At 39.2% G+C, this 24,827-nt stretch overlaps 1 protein-coding gene and 1 pseudogene across 34 annotated transcripts in view; both read right to left on the reverse strand.

Moving 5' to 3' along the window:
* Positions 1 to 24,827, reverse strand: part of DLG2 (discs large MAGUK scaffold protein 2) — a 2,173,362-nt gene that overhangs the window by 1,078,302 nt on the left and 1,070,233 nt on the right. For 28 of the 34 annotated variants that reach the window (NM_001351274.2, XM_017017256.3, XM_047426494.1 and 25 more), the window contains one exon: positions 1,257 to 1,418. In NM_001351274.2, coding sequence (NP_001338203.1) covers positions 1,257 to 1,418 — 162 coding nt within the window. The remainder of the gene's footprint in view (positions 1 to 1,256; positions 1,419 to 24,827) is intronic. The other 6 variants (NM_001351275.2, XM_017017257.3, XM_017017280.3 and 3 more) reach the window with 1 other exon arrangement.
* HNRNPA1P72 (heterogeneous nuclear ribonucleoprotein A1 pseudogene 72) lies at positions 11,619 to 13,611 on the reverse strand (annotated as a pseudogene).

Here is a 24,827-nt window from a genome sequence, read left to right on the forward strand (position 1 = left end):
CCCATGTCCCCCAATTCTTAATCTTTTCTTCTCCAGGTTAAACATACTCATTTCCACCAGTCATCCAAATACTTGCAAAGAAATTGCGGAGATTTGCACAATGAATCCCAGAAGCATAATATTAATATTTACATATTTTTAGTTACTATATAATATTTACTGGAATTTGATAATTGGTCTAATATTTTTATGTATTGGTAGTAGCTATAGCTAATTTATTTGCTAATACATTTTTAGCATACCAATATGTTTGAAATGTTCCAAAATTTGAAACGTAAGGTTAAGCATAAGTTAACCTCTCTTAGATGTTTTTGCAGGTATAATAAGATCCAGAGAACACGGGAGACACTTTTATGTCTTTATTTTTTATTGTAGCACAGCTGTGTAGAAGTGCTGGCAAAATGAATGTTCTCGGTGATGAAAGAAATTTTTGTTTAGCAATAATTACTAAGGAGTTAATTGGTAGGTGCTTTTATTTTTTCCATTTCAATTCTGTTATTTCAGCCATATTCTGATTTTTTCTTTTTAAACTTTAATCAACCTTTATAAGCTTTTTATCCCAAACACAAAATCCAGTAGCGCCAGTTCAGCCAAAAAAAAAAAAAAAAAAAAAAAAAAAAAAAATCAGAGTAATTTGCACAGCCAAGGGGCATAGAAAAGTATTTTTCTCATTTAATTATACCTTCTTCTTGTCGAAATATAATTTATCAAGCAATTGTTTAAAATTAAATTTTAAAAAGTAGAAAGTGTTGGGAAAAGTATGACAATGAATTGAAATAAATCTAGTAAACAATTTTCTCTAGGATAAAATAGAGGAATTGATTAGACAATTCACACATTTTCCTTTATAGTTTAGACAGTAAAGCAATCATTAGATGTGATCATGTTATATTTGTTCCCTTTGTTGGACCACGAGTACTGACAAACAGAGAGCATCTGAGCAAAACCTTGATGTACTTGGGGTTTAAAAATATGTGGTTAGCTTATTTTCCCTTTCAGTGTTTCACTCTTGGCGCTTTCTTTACTCCATTCTCAGCAACTAAAATGATTTTTCCAGATATTCAAACAATTGCAATAAAAATATGTCCCAAAAATACAAGGTGGGCCTCCAATGCACAAGAAAGACCCTTTGGCAACCCGTGTCCTCTATCATGTTTTAAAAGAGCCTCATTTAATCGGGCCAGCAAACATCTCCATTAGCAATTAAGACCAACTACTGTCACCAACTATAAAGTCGGAAGAGCAATATAACTGACCTTCAGAGGAGAAATATGAGACTGCAAGACATATCCATGGACATTTTCTATTTGAGAGAGGTTCTTTTCTGATACATGCACGAGTTCTGGGCCTCTTACTTCGTGGGTTAGTCGAGGTAAGGAATGATCATGTGGAGCGTCCTCATCTTGATATCGATACTTCTAGGAGAAAAGAAAAGAAAGGACAAGTATGTATATATCAGTGTTTGTAAAGGATATAGACTGAACTTCATATTCTAACTTCATCAATAGGACACAGTGTGCACCTACTGTTGACTTCACCAAATGGGCTTTGCTGCAGACTCTTCTGGCGGTCACCATAGACCAGGTCAAATGCAAGCAGAACTGAGTTAACCACGAATATTGACCAATGTCCAGACTTGTTTCTGCCTGATAATATACTCTCTTTGTTTATGAGCTACAGAAAGGTGATAACAAATGAGACAGAACATTTACTTTATTCAAGTAAGTGAGGAGGTAACCCTCCTGACCAGAGTAGCTAAGTATGTGTTAAAAATTCTAGGTTATGGATGGAGAAGAAAAAAAGTACTGAGCAAGAAGAAAACAGAATTCCAATATATCCCATTTAGAAAACTTAATTTTCCTTCAGAATTTGTGAGTGATTTAAGTTCCTTTTGAAATGAGGAAAAAATTTTGTCACCCACATTATTTGTATTAGACTCAAAGAGAAGACAAGCTTATCTTTCTTTACTTCACCCGCTAGGAGAAGGAGTATTGATTTGGGTTAGTCAGATTCCAGGACAAAAGATCACAATTTTTAGAAGCAGAGCTAGCTCTTTTAAAGAACTTTAAAAATCAAGGCAAGTTATCTGCCTATATTGTATGGCTCCCTGAGGGGACAGAGGTAAATACTTCTTCTCTCTTGTTCCCTTTTCCTCTTTTCTTAACCATCTTGCTTACACATGACTGTACCAGTAAAGATTATTGTTTGAGTCTTCCAAACAGATATAAGGAAGTTGGCAGAGAAAAAAAAAGGTTCAGGGTTAGGAATGCTCTGAGGGAACTCAGCCCTCTTCTTGGGGTCTATCTCCATTTTTGGCCTCAGCCTGGGTCTCCATCCTATTTCTGTGTCTTTTTCTAGTTTGTACCCCTTTTCCCTTGGATCTGTCCCTTTAGAGTTCCATTGTTCAAGGCTGTTGTCCTACCTGGGAAAGAAGAAAGGGAACCCTCTACATCTGACCTCTTAATCAGATAATAAAGTGTTAGTTTGCTTTACTTTGCCTATGTTCCTTGTGCATAACACAGGGATATTGGGAACAGGGATCTAAACATTGTCATAACACCATCACAGGCTTAATTGTGATGTCTAACTTCTTCCCAGTGTCCCATTATTGTTATCATCAATGGTTAATTTTTTCATATACATATATATATAAAACTTCTAGGACATCAGCTCTCAGACTGACTCATAGTGGAAAAGTAACAAGAACCACTCCAGGGATGGTAATTCAATCTGTTGTTCACTCTTCCTCAGAAGCAGATTATCAATACTTACACTTATACTTTCTGGGGCAAGGTAGGCTTTCTTCAATGTCCCAAGTAATATCTCTCTCAACAAAAATAACAATGCCATAACTGCAGTTTCCAAAGAACTCTCACAAACTTGTTCCATTGCAATCATTCTTGGCCATTTTACCTATGAGAAAACTAACACTCCAAGAAGTTAAGGTACTTGTCAAGAGTCACCTTAACTGACGGGCATAAGCGCCAAGACCCTATCCAGATCATTGCAGTCTGAATCCTCTTTCAGTTATCATCAGCCTCTCCTCTACCCCATAAAGAGATGAAGTCCAAGTCTGAAAACTGAATTGGCTGCTTAGTAGAAAAAAAAAAATCACTGAGAATACACGACACAATGAGGTTAGAACATTTCTGTGAACTGCAAATACCATGCTTTTGTTTATCTAACCTTATGAATAATTTGGGAATGTAATCTGCCTCAGAAACATGGATCAAATTTAACATTCACTTTTGATCAGTTACGCCCATTATGAGTGGAATAGTGTCACACTTGCGCCCATTTTAGTTTCTCTGGCTTTCAACCCATTAACTCCCACGTCTGCTCCACATTTTTGATTCTCTCATAAAGGCACTACCATCTATGTTGTCATCTGAGCCAGAAAAGTAGGAGTCAATCAGACTCCATCCTGTCTTTTGCCTGCTGCCATCTGCCAATTTAATAAGTTGATGAGTCTGCTTGATTTATATCCTAAATAATACTTGAGTCCACACTCTCCTTATTCTTCCCATACCCCCACCAACACTGTCCATGTTCAGGATCCCATAAGTTCTCAGCTGGGCTATAGAAACAGCCTCTGAGCTGGCTAGCCTGTCTGTGGGGTTGCCCGTTTCCCATAAATTCTCTACACTGATCCAGGGGACTTTGTGAATCACATGCTGATAAAGTCCTCCTTGAAAACTTCCAATGGCTCACACTGCCCACAGGACAGAATACAAGCTTTCTTACACTGCCATAACCCTACTACTATATATGCTGAACCCCCATTACTTCTGAATTACTTTTTTTTTTATGAGACGGACTCCAGCTCTTGTCACCCCAGGCTGGAGTGCAGTGGCACGATCTCAGCTCACTGCAACCTCTGCTTCCCGAGTTCGAGCAATTCTCCTGCCTCAGCCTCCCGAGTAGCTGGGACTACAGGCGGGCACCACCACGCCTGGCTATTTTTTTTATTTTTAGTAGAGCCGGGGTTTCACCATCTTAGCCAGGCTGGTCTCGAACTCTTACCGCAGGTGATCCGTCCACCTCAGCCTCCCAAAGTGCTAGGATTACAGGCGTGAGCCACCGCACCCAGCCCTGAATTACTTTTGTTCTCAACATTCTCACTCCAATAATTATAAAATAAATATAAACAAACTATTGAGTCTCATTTTTAAGCTTCTTTTAAAATTTGTGGTAAAATACACATAAAATTTTGACCATTTTAACCATTTTTAAGTATACGGTTCAGTAGTGTTACTTATATTCACTTTGTTGTGCAACAGATCTCCAGAACTTCTTCATGTGCATGTTCCCATAACTCCCTAGAGTCTCCAATTACAACTCTTGTCATGCTATATGGTTGTGTATTTTCTGTGTTTTTCCACGGAACTGTAAAATCTTGTAAGGACTGGGACCACATTGGTATTGTTTATTCTCACATCTCCAGTCTTTAGTCATATGCACAACACATATGCTCAATAAGTGTTTGTTGAATATAGCCATGAGCTACCATTACACAAATGGATGAAATAGATATCACTTGCTTAAGCCACAATACTATTTTGGCTACTGGATGAAAACTTTTTCACTATAAAATGCTGTGAACTCAGGTTCAAGTAAAAAGGACAATCACATCATTTGCTTGACACAATCTAAAAGGACATCAGGCTATTAAGTACTACATATCTTTCTCCTCATCATTCATTTCAGTATATGCTAAGAATATGAACTGAAAAGAACAACCCTTGACTTCAAGAAGACCATAAATTACTGAGTTATACTTGTGCACAGATAAGCTACCATACCTCGTGATAAACTCAGTTCTGTGGGAGCAGAAATGGGCAAGCATTTGTGGCTGGCTGGCTGCAGCTTCTCAGTTTGAAACAGGGTCTGGAATACCATAAAGAGGTAAAAGATATTCCAGCCAAAGGCACAACATGTGAAGAGACATGTGGTAAGAGGGGATGATGTTTGAGGGAACAGTGAGGTCTTAAAGTGGATTGTAGCAGATGCTATTGTGTCCCCATCCAAATTCATGGAAATCTTTTTTACCCATTGAAGGCTCATATCTGCATACTTTTCAGGAACATTACCCTTAGGTGATTGAAGCCTCCTCTCTTGGATGTCCACAGGAGTCATATTTGAACCCCAACTCTCATACCTCACGGTGAGACAAATCCCGTGATGTGAATTACACTACAAAGTATCCAGCGAGATTAGCTTAAATTTAGACTGTACCTGAACCTATATTTCTGCACAGTTCCTTTGTGCTTCCCTTACTCCCTATGTTTTTTTTTTTTCTTGGAACTGCCCTCCATAAATCATGCACACATGAAATCTCATCTTAGGTCTGCTTCTAGTGAGCTGATGTAAGACTTGGATGAAGCTTGGGATGTAAGGTACAGTGTGGCAGGAGGAGACTGGAAGGCAGATTGGTGTCCACTGTAGACAATAGGGAGTCATCCAAGAGACCGTGGACCTAAATAATACTCTGCCCAGTGCCAACCAGACATTCCCGTGTTTTTTTTTCTTTGAGTCTTCAGCCTATGACTAAGCAAGAAATGACAAGAACTGATGAGAAAGTCACATCTTTAACTCAAACTCAAGCTTCCAAAGGAATCACCCTGATATGATATAGCAGAATTTCTCTGCTTGTATTCAAATCTTTATTTCCTTTGGCTGAACAAAGGTACTGATTTATAACACTAGGATTAATATTAACACCAACATTAATGCTAATCCTAACACTAATGCAATATTACAACCAATAATAATACCAGCTACAGTTAATGTACCTGGAGCCATATTAAATGCTTTATATCCATCATCACCATATGAGACATAGGTGTTATTCTCTTTATCTTAGACTCAGATAATTAGGTATTTTTCTAAGCTTACATACCTGGAAAGTGGCAAACCAGGTTTCAAATACATGTTAATTTCACTCTAGAGAAAGAGCACTTAGTCTTCTAAGTTAGTTAGGACTCAAAGGTCTTTAGAGGACAACTTTATCTTCAGGAAATAAAATTTTTAGGAAATATTCTTACACCCTGACTAAGAATCAACCCTAACATTCTGGGTAATTCTGAGTCAAACTTTTCATTCCAAGGCTTGTCTGGTAGGTACTAATGTCATTCTGGGCACCTTTGAGGATTTCTCTATTGCCTACAAAATGAGGGCCATTGGCAGAAGGCCTCTGTATTGCAGTCTGTGCTTTCTTCTTTTTCTCTCCTCAGCTTGGTCTGTTGAAGGGGACTTGAGTAAAAGAAACTTTGTAATTCTGTGAGGAAAGTCATCGGTAGCTTGATGGGGATGGCACTGAATCTATAAATTACCTTGGGCAGTATGGCCATTTTCACGATATTGATTCTTCCTAACCATGAGCATGGAAGGTACGTTAAAGTTCATTTGGAACCAAAGAGGAGCCCACATTGCCAAGACAATCCTAAGCCAAAAGAACAAAGCTGGAGGCATCATGCTACCTAACTTCAAACTATACTACAAGGCTACAGTAACCAAAACAGCATGGTAGGTATAGACCAATGGAACAGAACAGAGCCCTCAGAAATAATACCACACATCTACAACCATCTGATCTTTGACAAATCTGACAAAAACAAGAAATGGGGAAAGGATGCCCTATTTAATAAATGGTGCTGGGAAAACTGGCTAGCCATATATAGAAAGCTGAAACGGGAATCCTTCCTTACATCTTATACCAAAATTAATTCAAGATGGATTAAAGACTTAAATGTTAGACCTAAAACCATAAAAACCCTAGAAGAAAACTTAGGCAATACCACTCAGGACATAGGCATGGGCAAGAACTTCATGTCTAAAACACCATAAGCAATGGCAACAAAAGCCAAAATTGACAAATGGGATCTAATTAAACTAAACAGCTCCTGCACAGCAAAAGAAACTACCATCAGAGTGAACAGGCAACCTACAGAATGGGAGAAAATTTTTACAATCTACCCATCTGACAAAGGGCTAATATCCAGAATCCACAAAGAACTTAAACAAATTTACAAGAAAAAAAAAAAAAAACCCCATCAAAAAGTGGGCAAAGGATATGAACAGACACTTCTCAAAAGAAGACATTTATGCAGCCAACAGACACATGAAAAAATGCTCATCATCACTGGCCATCAGAGAAATGCAAATCAGAACCACAATGAGATACCATCTCACTCAGTTAGAATGGCGATCATTAAAAGTCAGGAAACAACAGGTGCTGGAGACGATGTGGAGAAATAGGAACACTTTTACACTGTTGGTGGGACCGTAAACTACTTCCACCATTGTGGAAGTCAGTGTGGCGATTCCTCAAGGATCTAGAACTAGAAATACCATTTGACCCAGCCATCCCATTACTGGGTACATACCCAAAGGATTATAAATCATGCTGCTATAAAGACACATGCACACGTATGTTTATTGAGGCACTATTCACAATACCAAAGACTTGGAACCAACCCAAACATCCATCAATGATAGACTGGATTAAGAAAATGTGGCACATATACACCATGGAATACTATGCAGCCATAAAAAAGGATGAGTTCATGTACTTTGTAGGGACATGGATGAAGCTGGAAACCATCATTCTGAGCAAACTATCACAAGGACAGAAAACCAAACACTGCATGTTCTCACTCATAGGTGGGAATTGAACAATGAGAACACTTGGACACAGGGTGGGGAACATCACACACCGGGACCTGTCATGTGGTGGAGGGAGAGGGGAGGGATAGCATTAGGAGATATACCTAATGTAAATGACGAGTTAATGGGTGTAGCACACCAACATGGCACATGTATACATATGTAACAAACCTGCATGTTGTGCACATGTACCCTAGAACTTGAAGTATTATAATAATAATAATAATAATAATAATAAAGAAACTTTGTAAACAGATTATATTTCCTGTTTCAGCTCTAAGGGGAGTAGAGGCAGGATAGGTGCTCAAGACAGGGATGCCTGGTATACTACTTATGTCTCCCTATCTTAGTTCATTTTGCCCCTGACTTCTGGAATTCTATCCCCGTCCCCGTTCTGAAGCTTAACCCTGCCCCCAACCCCAGATTCCTTCATCAAGCAAACTTTTTTAGGTCCTTGATTATCAGATTTAGTGTTGCCTCCTCAGAAGCATTCTCTGACTTCAAAGGTTGGAAATCTGTATCTCTTTTATGCTCCCATAGTGTTCTGCACAGGATTTTGTCAATGAATAAGAACTTTATACTGTAATGACCTCTCCATGTGCCTATCTCCCCTAGTAGCCCACAAATGCCTCAAGAGCAGAGGTAGAGTCATGTTCATCTCTGAATCTCCAATGCCCAACCGACAAATGACACATAAAAAGAGATCAGTAAATGTAAGTTTAACTGAATTAAACTGTAATTATCTGAGCAATAACATGATCCGCATAATCAGAAAGCCCTCCCAGCTGAGCTTGCACGCAGTTATACTCATACTCATTTTCTACCACAGTCCCCCCTACACAGACAGAAAAAGGCTAAGGAAGTCTGACCAGGCTCTGCTCAGTACATTCTGCTGATGCTTGTGTGAGTCAGAACAAACCATCCTGAGTTTCCCAGAATTTAAAAACGGAATCTTACATGTGCCTGATCTGTCACTGGAGGTTCTCTGGTGCAATTTGGAAGATGGCATTTTGCTGGCACAGTGCATGATAACTGATCCAGAAATTGGAAATATTTCAAGGTTTCATAAACAAAAATCTGAGTTTACCTCTGTTGCTTCATAAAAAGTGCTCTACTTCCCCCTTGTAGCAGGAGTTGGCACAGTACTGATGAGAGAGAGAGAGAGAGAGAGAGAAAGAGAGAGAGGGGGAAGGAACAAATCAAAAGCTGGAGAGCTAGAACATGTTTGTGTGCACATGAATAGGTGGCATATTATCATACCTAATAGTGAATACTATCCATGAACGCTTTGCTAAGAATGTCACAGAAATTATCCCACTTAAGGCTGATAGTAGCATTATGAAGCAGGTATAAAATTAAGTAATAATTACAGTTCCTTACACAAAGCCTGACATTAAAAAACTTGTTAGTTTCACTGTCTCTGTTAACTATACTGACAAACCATGTTCTCTGTGTCAAGTTTTATCTGTCCCTCTGTAATCCAAGTTCTTTGAGGGTAAGAACCCTGACATGTATCTTTGTATCCTGCAGAGTGGTCAGGCTAGAATGCTACATACATAGTGTGTGTCCAATAGGCCTGTGTTGACTGATTGAGTGCTGCTTCTGGAAGAAAGCCTCTTAATTTAAAAAATGTGCTTGGGCTGAAAGGAAGCACATATTCTAGAAGCAAGAAGTTGGTAAAAACAAAATAATAATAATAACAGAATTTCAAAGGGATCCCTAAGGAAGAGGTAAGTGAATCTCAGAAAAAAACAGAAAACCAAAAGGACAAAGAAAACGAGCTCAATGATGAACCACGTGAAAACAAAAAATTTCCATTTCATCTCAAGGCTGTAGAAATTTAAGTTCCATAATTGAGTATTCCCATCTAGGCCCTGCCAGCCACCTTCTTATTTTGAGAACAATGATTTGTTTAAACACTTTGACATTTACTTTTAGGGATTTCTGCAGTCTGTACCCAGCAAATCCTTTTCTCCAGCTTCTTCCTTTTTCCATGATGCCTCAGCCTATCTATGACCTGTGTCTCATCACTTTTATATACCTACTGCATCCTCACTCCTACTCACTGCCTTCCTCTCTGGAGGGAAAACATGGGTAAAAAAGAAAACAAGAGAAGATAAAGGAATGTTCAGTGCAATGATCAGATCAATATTTATATTCATTTCTTTAATTTGAAATGAATTCTCTGAATGATATCCTGACTGGAGCACAGTTTTATTTCTGTTATTCCAATCCATTCTTTCAGAATGGTTACATATAGGTTGCAAATCTGGGGGTGGAGGTAGGTAGTTTCAGATAGGAGAAAAATGGGAGGAGGAAAGGCAAGAGAGACTACATAATTTTCCCCTTCACTTCCTCAAGGTGACCTCCTGACTTCCCAGATTAGGAAGTTCTCTCCCTGCCTCTGCACACCGCACACTGCTCCCTGCTTCATAGGCTTTCAGGGCACCCTGTCCTTATTCTTCATAAACCTTGGCACATTTTTATTTTACATTTATTTCTGTGATGATTCGCTGGATGTTTGTCTCCTCCACTGAACTAACCGTCCCCGCCCCTCTCCCCATGGGGTCAAGGGCCCCACCTGCTTGGTTTACTGCTGACCTCTAGTGCCTGCCACATAGGAGTTACTTGATAAATGTTTGTTGAATAAGTAAGTACTTTGCAGCCAGATCTATCTTCAAAATAATCACCCTTTAAAAAAACAATGACCCACAATTAGCAATATGGCTTGCCCAAAGAACCCTTGAAAGAGGAATTTTTCCAGTTTGGAGAAGAATGTAAGTAACAGCACTGATGGGAGAAATAAAAAGCTCTCCCAGGTGCTCCATTTGAATTTTTTTTAAACAAAACTCAAAAGTGAAAGGAAATACTTTCCTGCTTTTTTTCCACAAAGAACAGGACAAGCCAGGATGTTAATTAAATTACAAATCAGCTGTCTGCTTGCAGCTGACAGAGCTTTGTGTGCTTCCAAGCAACGTCAGATATTTTAAACTCTATGTAATTACCTACTATGGACTAGCTGCCAGGAAGGATGCTTCATGAATATTTAATGAATTCTAAGATCCTTTTTAAGGAACTGATGATTTAAATAACTATGGGAGAACTTACTCTAGCTCAGTGCCACCCTCCATCTGTTAACTGAAGATATTGGAAATGTAGCCTGGTAGAAATGCCATTTCTCCCCTAAAATGAGCTAGGCTCAGGATCTAGGGAAGGCTAGACTCACACAGGAGAGGTAACTGTAATTCTAAAGTTAACTGTTTAATTCTAAACAGACCTCAAGCTCTCTAAGTCAGAATGGAACCACAGACCTATGAACTGGGAAAATAACGAGTATGGAATTGCAAAATGAAATTTTGTAAGATGCCACACATTGAGGATGCTCTTTATAATTTACAAAGCACTTTCAGCAACACTGTCTTGAGTAATTCTCTCAAGAATTGGATAGATTAAACAGGTATCATCATTCTCATTTCCAAATGAGAAAACAGAGGGTCAGAGAGTTTCTAAAGTGCTAAATAAATAGTAAAGCTGTGTTTCAAACCAAAATAGTCCTCTGATTCCAAGAGGCAGCCTCACATAGTGGAAAGTGCATGAATTCTGGCATTAGACACATGATCTCAAATCTTGGTTATACTACTTGCTATCTGGGAGACATCTATCACATTGCTGGATACAACTGAGCTTTGGTTGACTGAAGTTATGAACCAGGAATTACAATATATATCTCATAGAAATACAAAGATTGAATGAGATGCTGTACTCCTGGCATACAGTGGCTGCTTGGCAAATGTAATGCTCCCTTTGGCTTGGAGTCTCAAGAACTTGGTACTCTGCAGATTTGTCGTAACAACAACAGCCACAACCAAAAAAAGTGGTCGCTAAAAGTGAATTTTTCACACAGCAAAAAGTCTTTGGTGGAATGCTCTTCACTTCCACAGAACAGAAACAATAATAACCTGTTATACAATTAGTCACAAATACAGTCCTTGAATTTTTTGTCCATACACATGAGTATTGTCTAAAACATGTTTTCTTTGTAGCAGCTAGGTGCTGCCACCACTGTGCATGGCTGAGTTCACAAATCTGTTGTAACCTGTAGCTTCCCTGTCACTTCTCTCTCTCACGCTAAGCTTTGTTTCTTTGCAGTAATTAGAATTTTTGCCACTGCCATGGCTAATGCTGCTACTGGAACCACGAGAGCCTCCTTGGTTTCATGGTTTGGCAAAGGATTGTCCTTCATCACCAGAGGGGCTGGAGCTTCTGCCTCCTAAGGTTTCTCTCCTCATGGGTCCAAAATTTGAAGACTGATTGTTGTAGCTGCCAAAATCACTGTAGCTTCCTTCACCTCTAAAACTGCTTCCATCATTTACAAATCCATTATAGCCATCCCACTGCCACCATATCCACAACCACCACGGCTGCCACCAAAGCTACTACGACCACTGAAGATTCCTCCACAATCATAGTTCATACCAAAACCACCTCCACAACCACCACCAAAGCATCCAGAACTACTTTGGCTTCTTTGGCTCAATGAAGCACTAGCCTTCTCTTGCTTTGACAGGGATGAATTTACTGAACACTCTTTGAAGTTTCCTAACTTCACAGTTGTGGCCATTCACAATATGGTACTTCAATCTTATTCATAGAGTCATGGTCCTTAAGAGTTACAAAGGCAAAATCCCTTTGCTTGCCACTGCCTCGGTCATTCATGATTTCAGTCACTTCAATTTTCCCACATTCTTCAAAGTAATGTCTTAGGTGATGTTCTTTTTTTTTTTTTTTTTTTTTTGAGAAGGAGTCTTGCTCTGTAGCCCAGGCTGGAGTGAAGTGGTGCAATCTCTGCTCACTGCAACCTCTGCCTCCTGAGTTTAAGTGATTCTTCCACCTCAGCCCCCTAAGTAGCTGGGATTACAGGTGCCCACTACCAAGCCCATATAATTTTCTTATTTTTAGTAGAGATGGGGTTTCGCCATGTTGGCCAGGCTGGTCTTGAACTTCTGATCTCAAGTGATCCATCCGCCTCGGCCTCCCGAAGTGCTGGGATTGTGAGAGTGACCCACCATGCCTGGCTCTTAGGTGATGTTCTTCAGTGTCTTCTTTAGTGCCACTCATATGGTTTGGATCTGTGTTCCCACCCAAATCTCAAGTTGAAATGTAGTCCCTACTGCTGGAGGTGGGGCCTGGTGGGAGGTGATTGGATCATAGGGGTGGTTTCTAATGGTTTAGCATCATCTCCCTGGTGCTGTCTCATGACAGAGTTCTCACGAGATCTGATTGTTTGGAAGTGTGAAGCATCTCCCCTGCCCTCTCTCTTCCTCCTGCTCTGGCCATGTCAGTCTGCTTCCTGTTTGCCTTCTGCCATGATTGAAAGTTTCCTGAGGCCTCCCCGGAAGCCCAACAGAGGCCAGCATCATGCTTCTGGCACAGACTGAAAGAACCATGAGCCAATTAAACCTCTTTTCCTCTTTTCCTTATAAATTACCCAGTCTTGGGTATTTCTTGATAGCAGTGCAACCATGAGCTGATACAGCCATCAACAAATATCTTTTTCACAGTTAAGTAGGCAACTAGTCTTTGAGAATCTCCTCTTGAGACAACTGTCTTTGGTTCCACGACTCTCTCATACCTCATGTAGCATGGCATTTAGGGCTGCATCCACCTCCTCCACAGTGGCATATGTGACAAACCCAAAGGCCCTGGAGCAATTGGTGTTTGGATATCTCATTACCACACAGTCCATGAGTGCTCCCAATTGCTCACAATGGCTCTTCAGACTCTCATGGGTTGTTTCAAACCTCAACCCTCCAATGAAGACCTTCCAGTTATTCGGGCTCTTTCAGAGACTCCGACTTAGACATGATGGCAGTAGGAAGATAGACTTTAGTGATGATTCCTCTGTGGCATCCCAGGGCCAAAAGGAGTAAGGTGACAAATGTATCTCAGTAGAATAAGTTTCTAGAACCTCAGTTTCAGAACAGCGCCTAAAAGCGCAGATTCTGGAGAGACGGCCTGCATCAATTCCTACTTTGATAACCACATGACCTTGGGCAACTTATTAAACCCTCTGAGACATGGTAATCTTATCTGCAAAACTGGAATAGCAACTACCTCACAAGATTTTTTAGAAAGCCAAGTGAGATGATGCATGGAAGGCACTTAGAAGAGTGAGTGTCTGTGATCTAGTAAGTAGTCACTTAGTAGAAGTTATGATTGTTTTACTGGAACATTAGATATGTTATTTGATTATAAAAAATTGGAAGAATAGAAAAAACTAAAGGAAAAATTTTTGCCTTTTACTGTTTTGAATTTTTCAAATTCTCTAACTGCAACTTCTCCCACTACTCCATAACACATAGACAGTTTATCAAATCTCACAGCCCTCCTAGTCTCACAAAGTACACTTTAGCCTTTCTTTACGCCATCTTAAATGCTTGAAAACCTTCTCTTTGCACTTTTGTATGCAAAAAGAATTTACTGAGCACCACTTCTATGCCAGATATTGTACCATGTGCTAGAGATGTAATAGTGAATAAAGAAGATACAGCTCATCCTTGCCCTTTGCTCTTGATGTCTTCTCTACCTCTCATAACTTTCCCAACTCTTTTTCACATACTGCTCAACCTTCAAAACTTAGTTGATAAATGATATCTTTCCAGATGCTTTCCCTAGACATCCAAATTTGGCTAAGCATTCTTATTCTGTGCTCCCATGTCTGACTCCCTGAGAATCCCTCTTTTTTCTCAAAGCATGTATGTCTCTGCCATTCTCACTGGAATGGGAAGAGTTCACAATTCATTATTGTACCAGGGGCAAATATTCTGCTTGGGACCCAGTAGGTGCTTAATAAATGCTACTAAATGGAACTACCCCTGGTAGAGATGTAAGCTCCTTAGACTCCTGTGTACTCCACCATGACTAGCACATCCTAGAAGTAGTGCATAGTCAAGAAGCCTGTCACTATTCTACAGTAGAGCTGGTTATTGAACAGTAGTACCCTGTAAGATTTTCAACAATAAAATCAAAAATTGGTTTATGTTGTGTAGCACAGGTAATAAAGTGAGTTCCTTTGAAAGTTTTCATTTAGCAGGGAGAATTGTTCCAGCTTTGGGTATGACATCCCTGACAAAGTGTATTAGCTGGTGGCTTCCTGGAGTAAAAGAGTTGACAGAAAGAAAAACAGTAACATGCAGAGAAGAACTGAGTTCCCTTCTTCCTTCTCCACTGCCAGCACTGAGTCAGAGCAGCTACGGAAGCATAACACACAAATGAGACAACGCTAAGTATTCTTTTTTTTTTAATTTTTATTTTTATTATACTTTAAGTTTTAGGGTACATGTGCACAACGTGCAGGTTTGTTACATATATGCATGTGCCATGTTGGTGTGCTGCACCCAGTAACTCATCATTTAACGTTAGGTATATCTCCCAATGCTATCCATCCCCACCCGCCCCCCACCCCACAACAGGCCCCGGTGTGTGATGTTCCCCTTCCTGTGTCCATGTGTTCTCATTGATCAATTCCCACCTATGAGTAAGAACATGCGGTGTTTGGTTTTTTGTCCTTGCGATAGTTTGCTGAGAATGATGGTTTCCAGCTTCATCCATGTCCCTACAAAGGACATGAACTCAACATTTTTATGGCTGCATAGTATTCCATGGTGTATATGTGCCACATTTTCTTAATCCCGTCTATCATTATTGGACATTTGGGTTGGTTCCAAGTCTTTGCTATTGTGAATAGTGCCACAATAAACATACGGAGACCACACTAAGTATTCTTACACGAGCCCATCTAAACCCCAGGTCAGCAGCTTGACTCACATTTGAGTGTACCAACCTCAAATAAGCCCAATAAAATAGATTAAAGTGTATGCAAGGCAGGGAAGAGGTCTGGAAGAATATACTAATATGTTGACCATGGTTATTTCTGGATGACTATTACTTTCATTTTTTGGAGCTACATATATTTCTTTGAGGAATAAAAAGAATTAGAATATGTAAAACATGATCAAGTATTTGCTTTGTTGTACTGGAGAAGGTTCAGTGTGGTATAAGTTTTGTGATAAGGAAAAATTCTCTAGTCCTGGAAAGGGTTTATCCATGTTCAGTTGAGTTAATTTTGAGAACTGGCTGAAGGATGCAAAGGAAGGGGTTTCCAGCTGACAAATGAAAGAGGGATGTGCCGGGAATAAATTTGCTGGAGAGGACCAGGCTTTAAGTCAAATTGCTTTGGTACCAAGAAATCAAAGCAATGATTTGGGAGCAAACTCAACAGTAGTTCATCCATTTGAAGCAAAACTTCAAACATGGTCTGAGTAATTTTCCAGGGATAACTGCCACTGGATTCTATTGAGCACTGTACGATCTTGTGGGCAGTCCCTGTCTGACTAATCCACCAGCTGTGCAACTGCTACAGCATCTGTGAGTGAGAATCATTCACTACTAAAAGCTAGAAACATGTTTTGCTCAGTGCACCTGGTGCCCAGAAAAGAGGAAATGTTCATTTCAGCAAAATGCTTCCTCAAGCGATGCAAATTCCCTGCAGCTCAGTTCCTGGGTTTAAATCCTGTTCCTGCACCAACCAGCAGTGCGACTTTAGGGAAGTATGAAGGCTCTCTGAAACTCAGACTCCTCATTTTAAAATTGGACTAATAATGTATGACAGTGTCACTATAGGAAATTGATGAGATAATATGCCCAAACTCTTTGGGCCAGGACCCGCCTCCTAACAGGTGCTTAGGAAATATAAGATTCTTCCTATTTCTCTTTTTTTGTTTGTTTGTTTTTGAGATGGAGTCTCGCTCTGTCACCTAGGCTGGAGTGCAGTGGCGCAATCTCAGCTCACTGCAACCTCCGCCTCCTGGGCTCACGAGATTCTCCCACCTCAGACTCCTAAGTAGCTGAGATTACAGGCTTGCACCACCACGCCTGGATAATTTTTTGTATTTTTAAGTAGAGACAGTGTTTCTCCATGTAGGCCAGGCTGGCCTCGAACTCCTGGCCTCAAGTGATCTGTCTGCTTCAAATTCCCAAAGTGCTGGGATTACAGGCATGAGTCACCACACCCAGCATTCCTATTTCTCTACCAGTGTCATGCAGTCATCTTTCCAAGTATTGTAAAACGAGCCTATACACACACACACACACACACACACACACACACACATACACACACATGCATGTATATGCTCAATTCAGCCTTATCACCATTACAGGGAACAGGCTTCCACCATGCTATTACCAGTATTGTAGAGTATTGTAGCATCCCTACAGAACAGCACAAACTTTCTGAAGGTGGTAAAATGAGCTGCTAAGGCCTTGCTGCCACTTCTCTTGATCCAGTGCCTTTTCTGTATGTGAGGCCATCTTACCCAAATTCTACTCACACCTCTAGCTAGGTCAACACTCCTACTCTTGGTATCTTCCACTTATGATGATCATCTCTGTCCAGCAGGCAGAGAAAAAAAAAGTCTCAGACACAGGTGCTGAAATTGCCTTCACTGCTCATTCAAGCTACTCTTCCTAACCATGTGAGTTTTTGGACTTCAGAACCTACCTGTGAAATTGGCACTTGCCTAGCCTTCCCATTATATTTGACTTCCAAGGATGAGATCAGTTACCCACCTGAACCTAGAATATCTCCTGGATGATCTCCAGCAGACTTTGTTCCTGGTCCTGGGACTTCCTGGGTGGTCGATTGGCATATATATCCTCTGTGACACTATAAAGACTAAAGTTCCTTCCTAGTGGGAAGCACCATTATTCATTCATCCAACAGAATGTTTATCTAGCGTGTTATATGCTAATCACTAAATTTTAAGTGCTAGAAATACAGTAGTTTAAAAAAAGCAAAAATCTGTGACTCTGTCGAAATTAAATTCTAGTTGCGTTAGGTAATCCAGCTCTTTGAGCTCCCTTTTTCCTCAACATACTTCCTGTACCAAGAAGCAGTTATGAACAGCTGTCCTTTCTATGGGAAGACACTCAGGGGTCCAGGTAGGCAACCACTGTGAATTGTCTCTGGTGGTGGTGCAAATGGGCTTGATCTATCCAGCTGCCTTTGTTTTAGAGCACCTCATAATGAGCTGGTGTCAATGGCATTGGAACATGGGAAAGTTGAAAAATAAGGCAGAAAGTGTGGCCCTATTACTAGTGTGTTCCAATCAAAGAGGTTTATTTCACAATCAGACACTTTAATAAAAATATTAATGTTTCCTCAAATAAGGTTGCTTTATAATCCATGCTTGCTTATGGTGGTTTAAATATTCTCCAAATACAATAGTGTCTAATAAAATGCCTTTTGGAAATAATAAAAGCATATTTATACTTGATCTAGATGCTTAATATGCAACTTAATGTGCAATTGTAGAATGTTATTTTGTGCTTACTATACTCTTAAGATGTAAGCCCCAAATCAAGAAAACCCAGAAAGTTTTCTAATTTTCTTGTCCTGCTGCCCTGCTGGGAACTGACAGTGTCATCTTTCAGATTACTGCCTGTGACATGACGTGCATATGTATTAATGCTTTACAAGCCTTAATTTATTTAATCCTTAAACAAACTTATGGAGTAGTTACTGTTTTATTTCCCTCATTTAACAGATGAGAAAATACAGGGAGAAAGAAATTAAATAAGTAACTTGTTCACACAACTAGTGGATAGAATGAGATTTATACCTCATTATCCTTGTAATTCCACCTTTAATTCACACACTATATTGTCTCTCAAGTATTATGCATTTCTTACTCTCTGACTCAGATGTTTCTTCTGAGTATGGTAGATACTTTGGTCCTTTGGTTTAAAAGCTAAGGTCTGTAAGCTTCCCTTTATCCTTGCTGGGCCATAGAATGCAATTGGGAGAAAGTATAAATAGAAATAACCTAGTTAATGACACTGCCATTTCTCTGGTCACCCAAATACAAAATTACACAGATGAAGATGATCCCTCAGCATCTTTCCTCTCTCATGTCTTCCAGAGTGGGGTCCATCTAACTAAATTGCCAGAACATGACTCCTAATATCAGAGTGAAGGCCAAGATGGTTTACATTAGACTGAGAGCTCCCTGATGAAAGCAGTGATACTACAGCTGTAGCTATCTCAGTAACCCCCTGGCACATAGAAGAGGTTTAGTACATTTTACCAAGTGAATGGATCTAATACAAGTTTAATGGACTCTAAATCAGCAGATATATTTGTTTTTGTTTATCTCCATTGTCCACTCCCCCATCACACCCTTGTTTCTTCTCCCTAGAATATTCCACTTGCCTTCAATTTCTCTTTCCAAACATATCTCTTGCTTCTTTCTACCCCAACACACCAACTTTCCTTTCTCTGCTTCTTCATCTTTTCCCACCACATTCCCCAAAATCTAGAATTTCACCAATCTGAATTATTTGCAACTCAGAGTAAGAGGAATGGATCACCTCCAATGTTTTGCACTTGTTACCTTCCACATGCCTTTTGCCATGTCTTTAACGTCAAAGTTCAGTTAAGATGACAATCTTTCCAGGAGCCTCCATAATTTATTCACTGCCTCCATCAGTCATCTACACCTCACCCCCAGACTGCGGTCAGAACTCATAGTTACCTGTGCACTCACAGGACATTTACTTAATCTATCATTTTTGTCTGTTTATTTAATTGTTTACTTTTTATACACTATAAGATCTTTGAATGCAAGGATTGAGTCTTGTTTATGGCTGTAGGACCTGTGCCAGGTATTCAGTGGGTCCTAATAAATGTTTGTTAAGTGAATATTAGCCACCTAGTAACTGGTTTCCTTATCTATATACTCTCCATCAACCAATTCTTTTAACTAATCACCCTCAGATACATCTTCCTTAAACACAAGTTTGGCTATATCACTCACCCCTTTAAAACCCTTCAGTAGTTTCCTCCTGCTCCAGAATAAAACGCACGCACTTTGATGTGAAATTCACAACATTCTCAATCTCTTGCTAAAGTACTATCTCTTACTGATTTTTTTCACTCATTTGCATTCCTTTCAAACTAGCTCAGCAGCTCTTTCCTGGAGCCATTTTATCTTTCTAATCTTTTCTCACCTTCCTGTCTCATGCTTTTCCTTCTGTCTTGAAATGATGCTTCCCAAATCACAGGTGAGAAATACCTTGCTCTTTTTAAGATTCTTTTCATGTCACCTTTTCCACAGTCTCTCCTAATCTATCTTATTCCCCCCAAAATGTGGTTTACCTTTGTCACTTTGTATTGTTCTTACAATAAAATTGTCCTTGAGTTTGTAATCTTTTTATTCATCCCTCATTTCACTGAGCACTTAAAATGAGTCACTGATGCACTGTAATAGACCCTGGTAATATTTAGAGAAAACGCAATGACCAGTGAGCTCTGTTTTCAGTTGATAAGACTGATAAATGTTATCAACCTAAAATGTCATAGTTAAGATGCATGCTGATTTCAGAGATACAAATATTTAAAAAGTGCATGTTAGAATCAATACAATATCAAATAAAATATCATATTCACATGCTCCCCCAGAGGTCATTTAACCTAGCTTTGGCCGTATAAAGGAGCAGTTTCTTGGAGAATAAGATATCACAGTCTACTCTTAAAGAACGGAAAGGTATGAATCCAAGAGACAGCAACAATACTGTCAAAGGAACAGCAGACTAGAACTCACGGAGGAGGAACCATAAAGGTTAACTTCCTCTCTTGAGATTTAAGATGCTTAAAGGCAGTTTCTTACAATTCTTTCCTTGAGAAGGTTGGTACAGTCTTAAACGGTTGTGTTAGATTAAAATTAAAATGTATTGTGGACCATTCACATGTTACAATATAGATAAGTTTGATAATTTCTTCTTAAAATTGGCAACATGAAACTAAGGTGTCAGGAAACCTTGAAGAATGAGTGCTTGGGGGGAATATTCAATTAAAATTTGAAAGATAAATGATAAAGTATCATCCATGAGGATATGATTTGAATGACTGCACTGCCATAAAGTTTAGACTTTCACTTCTAGAGACTTGGCCAGGCTGATAAAGAAGAGTTAGTGCACATTCTCTATTCATCACAGAAAGTCCAATTCTAAATTGAATTCAATTCAAATTCTCTAAAACCCATGAGCAACTTCTAGTCTCTGCTTGGGCATATCTTCGTCCATTCAGTTCATGGCTTCATTTGTAGTTCTGTGTGTTTTATTTTCTTCTTCATCCTTGTATCAATTCATCCTTTTATCTAAACTATTAAGTTTTACCTGGATATGCAAAATTAACAATCACAGTGAAGCTTCCCAAATGGGGCAGTTTTTAACCCTAAAAATCATTACTCTTTCCTTAATGTGGATAGGACTTGCTCAATCTTGAGGGCAGAACGACTACCAGTTTTATTAGGTGCACTAGCTGCAGGGATTCAACAGTGTACAAGCAAGATAGGCAGTATTATTTCTCTTGTGGAGCTTTCCTTCTAGTGGTGGTGACTAACATAATTTAAAAATAAAGAAAATGGGCCGGGTGCGGTAGCTCATGCCTGTAATCCCAGCACTTTGGGAGGCCGAGGTGGGCAGATCACCTGAGGTCGGGAGTTCAAGACCAGCCTGACCAACATGGAGAAATCCCGTCTCTTCTAAATATACAAAATTAGCCGGGCATGGTGGCGCATGCCTGTAATCTCAGCCACTCGGGAAGCTGAGGCAGGAGAATCACTTGAACACAGGATGGGGAGGTTGCGGTGAGCTGAGACTGAGTCACTGCACTCCAGCCTGGGCAACGAGAGTGAAACTCTGTCTCAATAATAATAATAATAATGAAGGAAATAAAGTCAAGGAAATAAGATGCTCCAAGAGAGCACAAGAAGGAACCATATTCATTAGAGAATGTCAAGGATGCTTTCTGAAACAATGACATATTAACTGAAGTCAGAGGAATGAGAATATCTCCCATGTGAAGAGGTGGGTAAGCTGCCTTTCAAATGAAAGGAAGAACAACCATGAGAATCTTTGTGTTGGAAAAGAGTGTGGTAGGTTCAAGGAATTGACACGGCTTTCTGAAGAGGGGTGAGTGAAGCAAACATGAGGAAGGAGAGGTAACCTGGAATAAGATTACATACGGCCTTGTTAGCCTTGGGAAGGATTTGGGTCCCCATCCTAAGAAAAATGGGAAGTCAACAAAGAATTTCAGCAGGAGAGTGATATGACCTGATATATATTTTCAAAAGCTCACTCTTGAACTCTTAGTGAGCCTGTAAGAGGATGTAACTGCAATAAAAAGCAGTATGGAGGTTCTTCAAAAATATGAAAATAGAACTACAATATTATCTAGCAAACCCACTTCTGGGTATATATCCCAAAGAATTGAAAGCAAGGTCTTGAAAAGATATTTACACACCCATGTTCATAGTAGTACTATTCATGATAGCTAAGAGGTAGAAGCAACCCAAATGTTTGTTGATGAATAAATAAACAAAATGTGGTTAGAAATATCCATATATACACACACACACACAATAAAATGTTATTCAGCTTTAAAAAAGAAAGGACATTTTGTCACAAGCTACAATATGGACATATCTTAAGGACATTATGCTAAGTGAAATAGGTTGGTAATAAAAAGACAAATGGTGTATGATTCCATTTATATGAAGTGCCTACAGTGGTGATATTCACAGAAACAGAAAGTAAAATGGTAGTTATCAGGGACTAGAGAGAGGAAGAAATAGGGAGCTGTTTAAAGGATATAAAGTTTCAGATTTACAAGAGGAAGAAGTTCGGGGGATCTGTTGTACAACAAAGTGAACATAATTAACACTACTGAACTGTACAGTTTAAAATGGTTAACATAGACTAAAATTTTATGAATTTTTTACTACAATTTTTTAAAAGCTTACTCTAGCTGCCAAAGGAGAATGGATTCAAAGGGAGAGGGCAAAAGTTGGGGAGACCAGTTGGGAGGCATTTAGAGAACCTGTGCTGGTGCCTGAGACAGGCAAGTGGCAGAGCCTGCAGGCCAATGAGCTCAGCCCCTGCCCATCTGCATTTCCTACAGTAGGAAGCATCTAGGGGCCACAAACTCCAAGTTTTCTTTTGCCCACCCACACAACATTCCAAATGTCCATGTCTTTTATTCTTTCAACCCTCCAACATCTTTTCTCAGAGGAGATAAGAAGTAACAAAAAAAATGAATTTTGTAACACTTGGTGACTAAGTTCACTCCCATCTGGGCCCATCTTTTGCCTGATAGGAGACAGGACATGGTCAGGTAGCAGGTGGACTTTAAGCAACCATATCCAGCTTTGAGATTGGGGCCTAGTGGACAGTGGGTATAAAGATACTCTGTGTTAGCCTCTCATCAAAAATGCACCCCCAGTTATTTTTTGTAAACTTGAGCATCTGACCTAACATGTGTTTAGTCTTTCTTCCTGACTCGTATTTCTGTTTTGGCTCATAGCAACAACCCTAAATGGTTAGAGCAAGAGTATCCAGTCTCCGATCTTTTGGCTTCCCTAGGCCACAATGGGAGAAGAATTGTCTTGGGCCACACATAAAACACACTGATAGCTGATGAGCTAAAAATAAATAAATAAATTGCAAAACAGTCCCACGATGTTATTCAAATGTTTTTGCATTTGTGTTGGCCCACATTCGAAGCTGTCCTGGGCCACATGTGACCCACAGGCCGCAGGTTGGACAAGCTGGGTTAGAGGGTGAAGAGCCTCTGTTCCCCAGATTACACATGTAGTACTCCCACACTCTTACCAAACAATTATTTTGTATTGTGATTAAAAATTATATTTCAAACTCATTATGGAATCATTCATGTGTTCTTATCATTTAGCTCCCACTTATAATTGAGAACATGTAGTATTGCGTTTTCTGTTCCTATGTTAGTTTGCTAAGGATAATGGCCCTACATAACAAAGTAATTTACATCAGCTATACAATCTATAAGGAATAATGTAACAAACTTCCTCATAACTGCCATCCATCTTTAAAAAGTATTACCAGCAGAATGGAGGCCCCTGGGTATCCATCCCGGGTCATATCTGTCTGCCTCTCCCCTGAGGTAATTGTGGAATTTTATCTGTATAATTCCCTGTTTTCCCCAATAGTCTTACTACATAGACAGGTAATTGTAATGGTTAGTTTTATGTGTCAACTTGGCTAAATTATAGTATTCAATTACTTAATTTAGGTGTTGCTATGAAGGAATTTTGTAGTTGTGGTTAACATCTACAATCAGTTGACTTTAAGTAAAGGAAATTATCATTGATATTCTGGGTGGGCCTCATCTGACCATTTGAAAGGTCTTAGAAGCAAAACTAGGGTTTCCATGAGAAAGAATAGATTTCATCTGTGGATTTCTTGCTTAGTGCCTATTGAAGAGTTTCCAGCCTGCTGCCCTGCCCTATTGATTTTAGCTCCCACAATGACAAAAGCAAATTCCTTAAAATAAATTTGTTTATATACACATATTAATATATATACACATACTGGTTCCATTTCTCTGATATGATCTTTACTGATACAGTATTCCTTAAAAATGCTTAGTTTATATCTATTTTGGAACTTTATGTAAGCAGTATCATATTGTGGCTATTTTTCTACAACATTTCATTGAGAAATTTATTTATGTTGATGTGTGCAAAACTAGATCATTTCTTTTTAATTTTTTACAGTATGTTATTATTAGTATATCACAATGTACCATTTTTTTTTTTCTGAGAGAGATATTTGGGCTTTTTCTATTATTTTCCTTTCCGGAATAACAAAACTAACAATACTGCTAAAAATCCTTGCATGTGTTTTTTGGTGCACATATGTAAAACTCTTGTTAGAACATATATACCTAGGAGAGTAGAGGAGTTCTGGGTCTTAGACTATATGCATCTTCAATTTTTCTAGATATCTGTTCCGTGCTTTCTCCAATGATCTTACTACAAAGTAGTTGTATTTTTGTCAGAAATATACCAATTTACAAACTATCAGCAACATATGAGAACTATGATTTTTCCATACTCTCAGTAAAACCTGGAATTATCAAGAAAAACACTTATAACGTGACTATATATCAGATTTGGAAAATCTCATCGACAGGATTTATAGATACATTATATGTAAGGGGTGAGAAAGATAAAGGAGTCAAGGATCATTCAAAGATTTTTAACTCTAGTATTCATTAATATTTA

Source organism: Homo sapiens, chromosome 11 (genome assembly GCF_000001405.40).
Source record: "Homo sapiens chromosome 11, GRCh38.p14 Primary Assembly".
Taxonomy (NCBI): domain Eukaryota; kingdom Metazoa; phylum Chordata; class Mammalia; order Primates; family Hominidae; genus Homo; species Homo sapiens.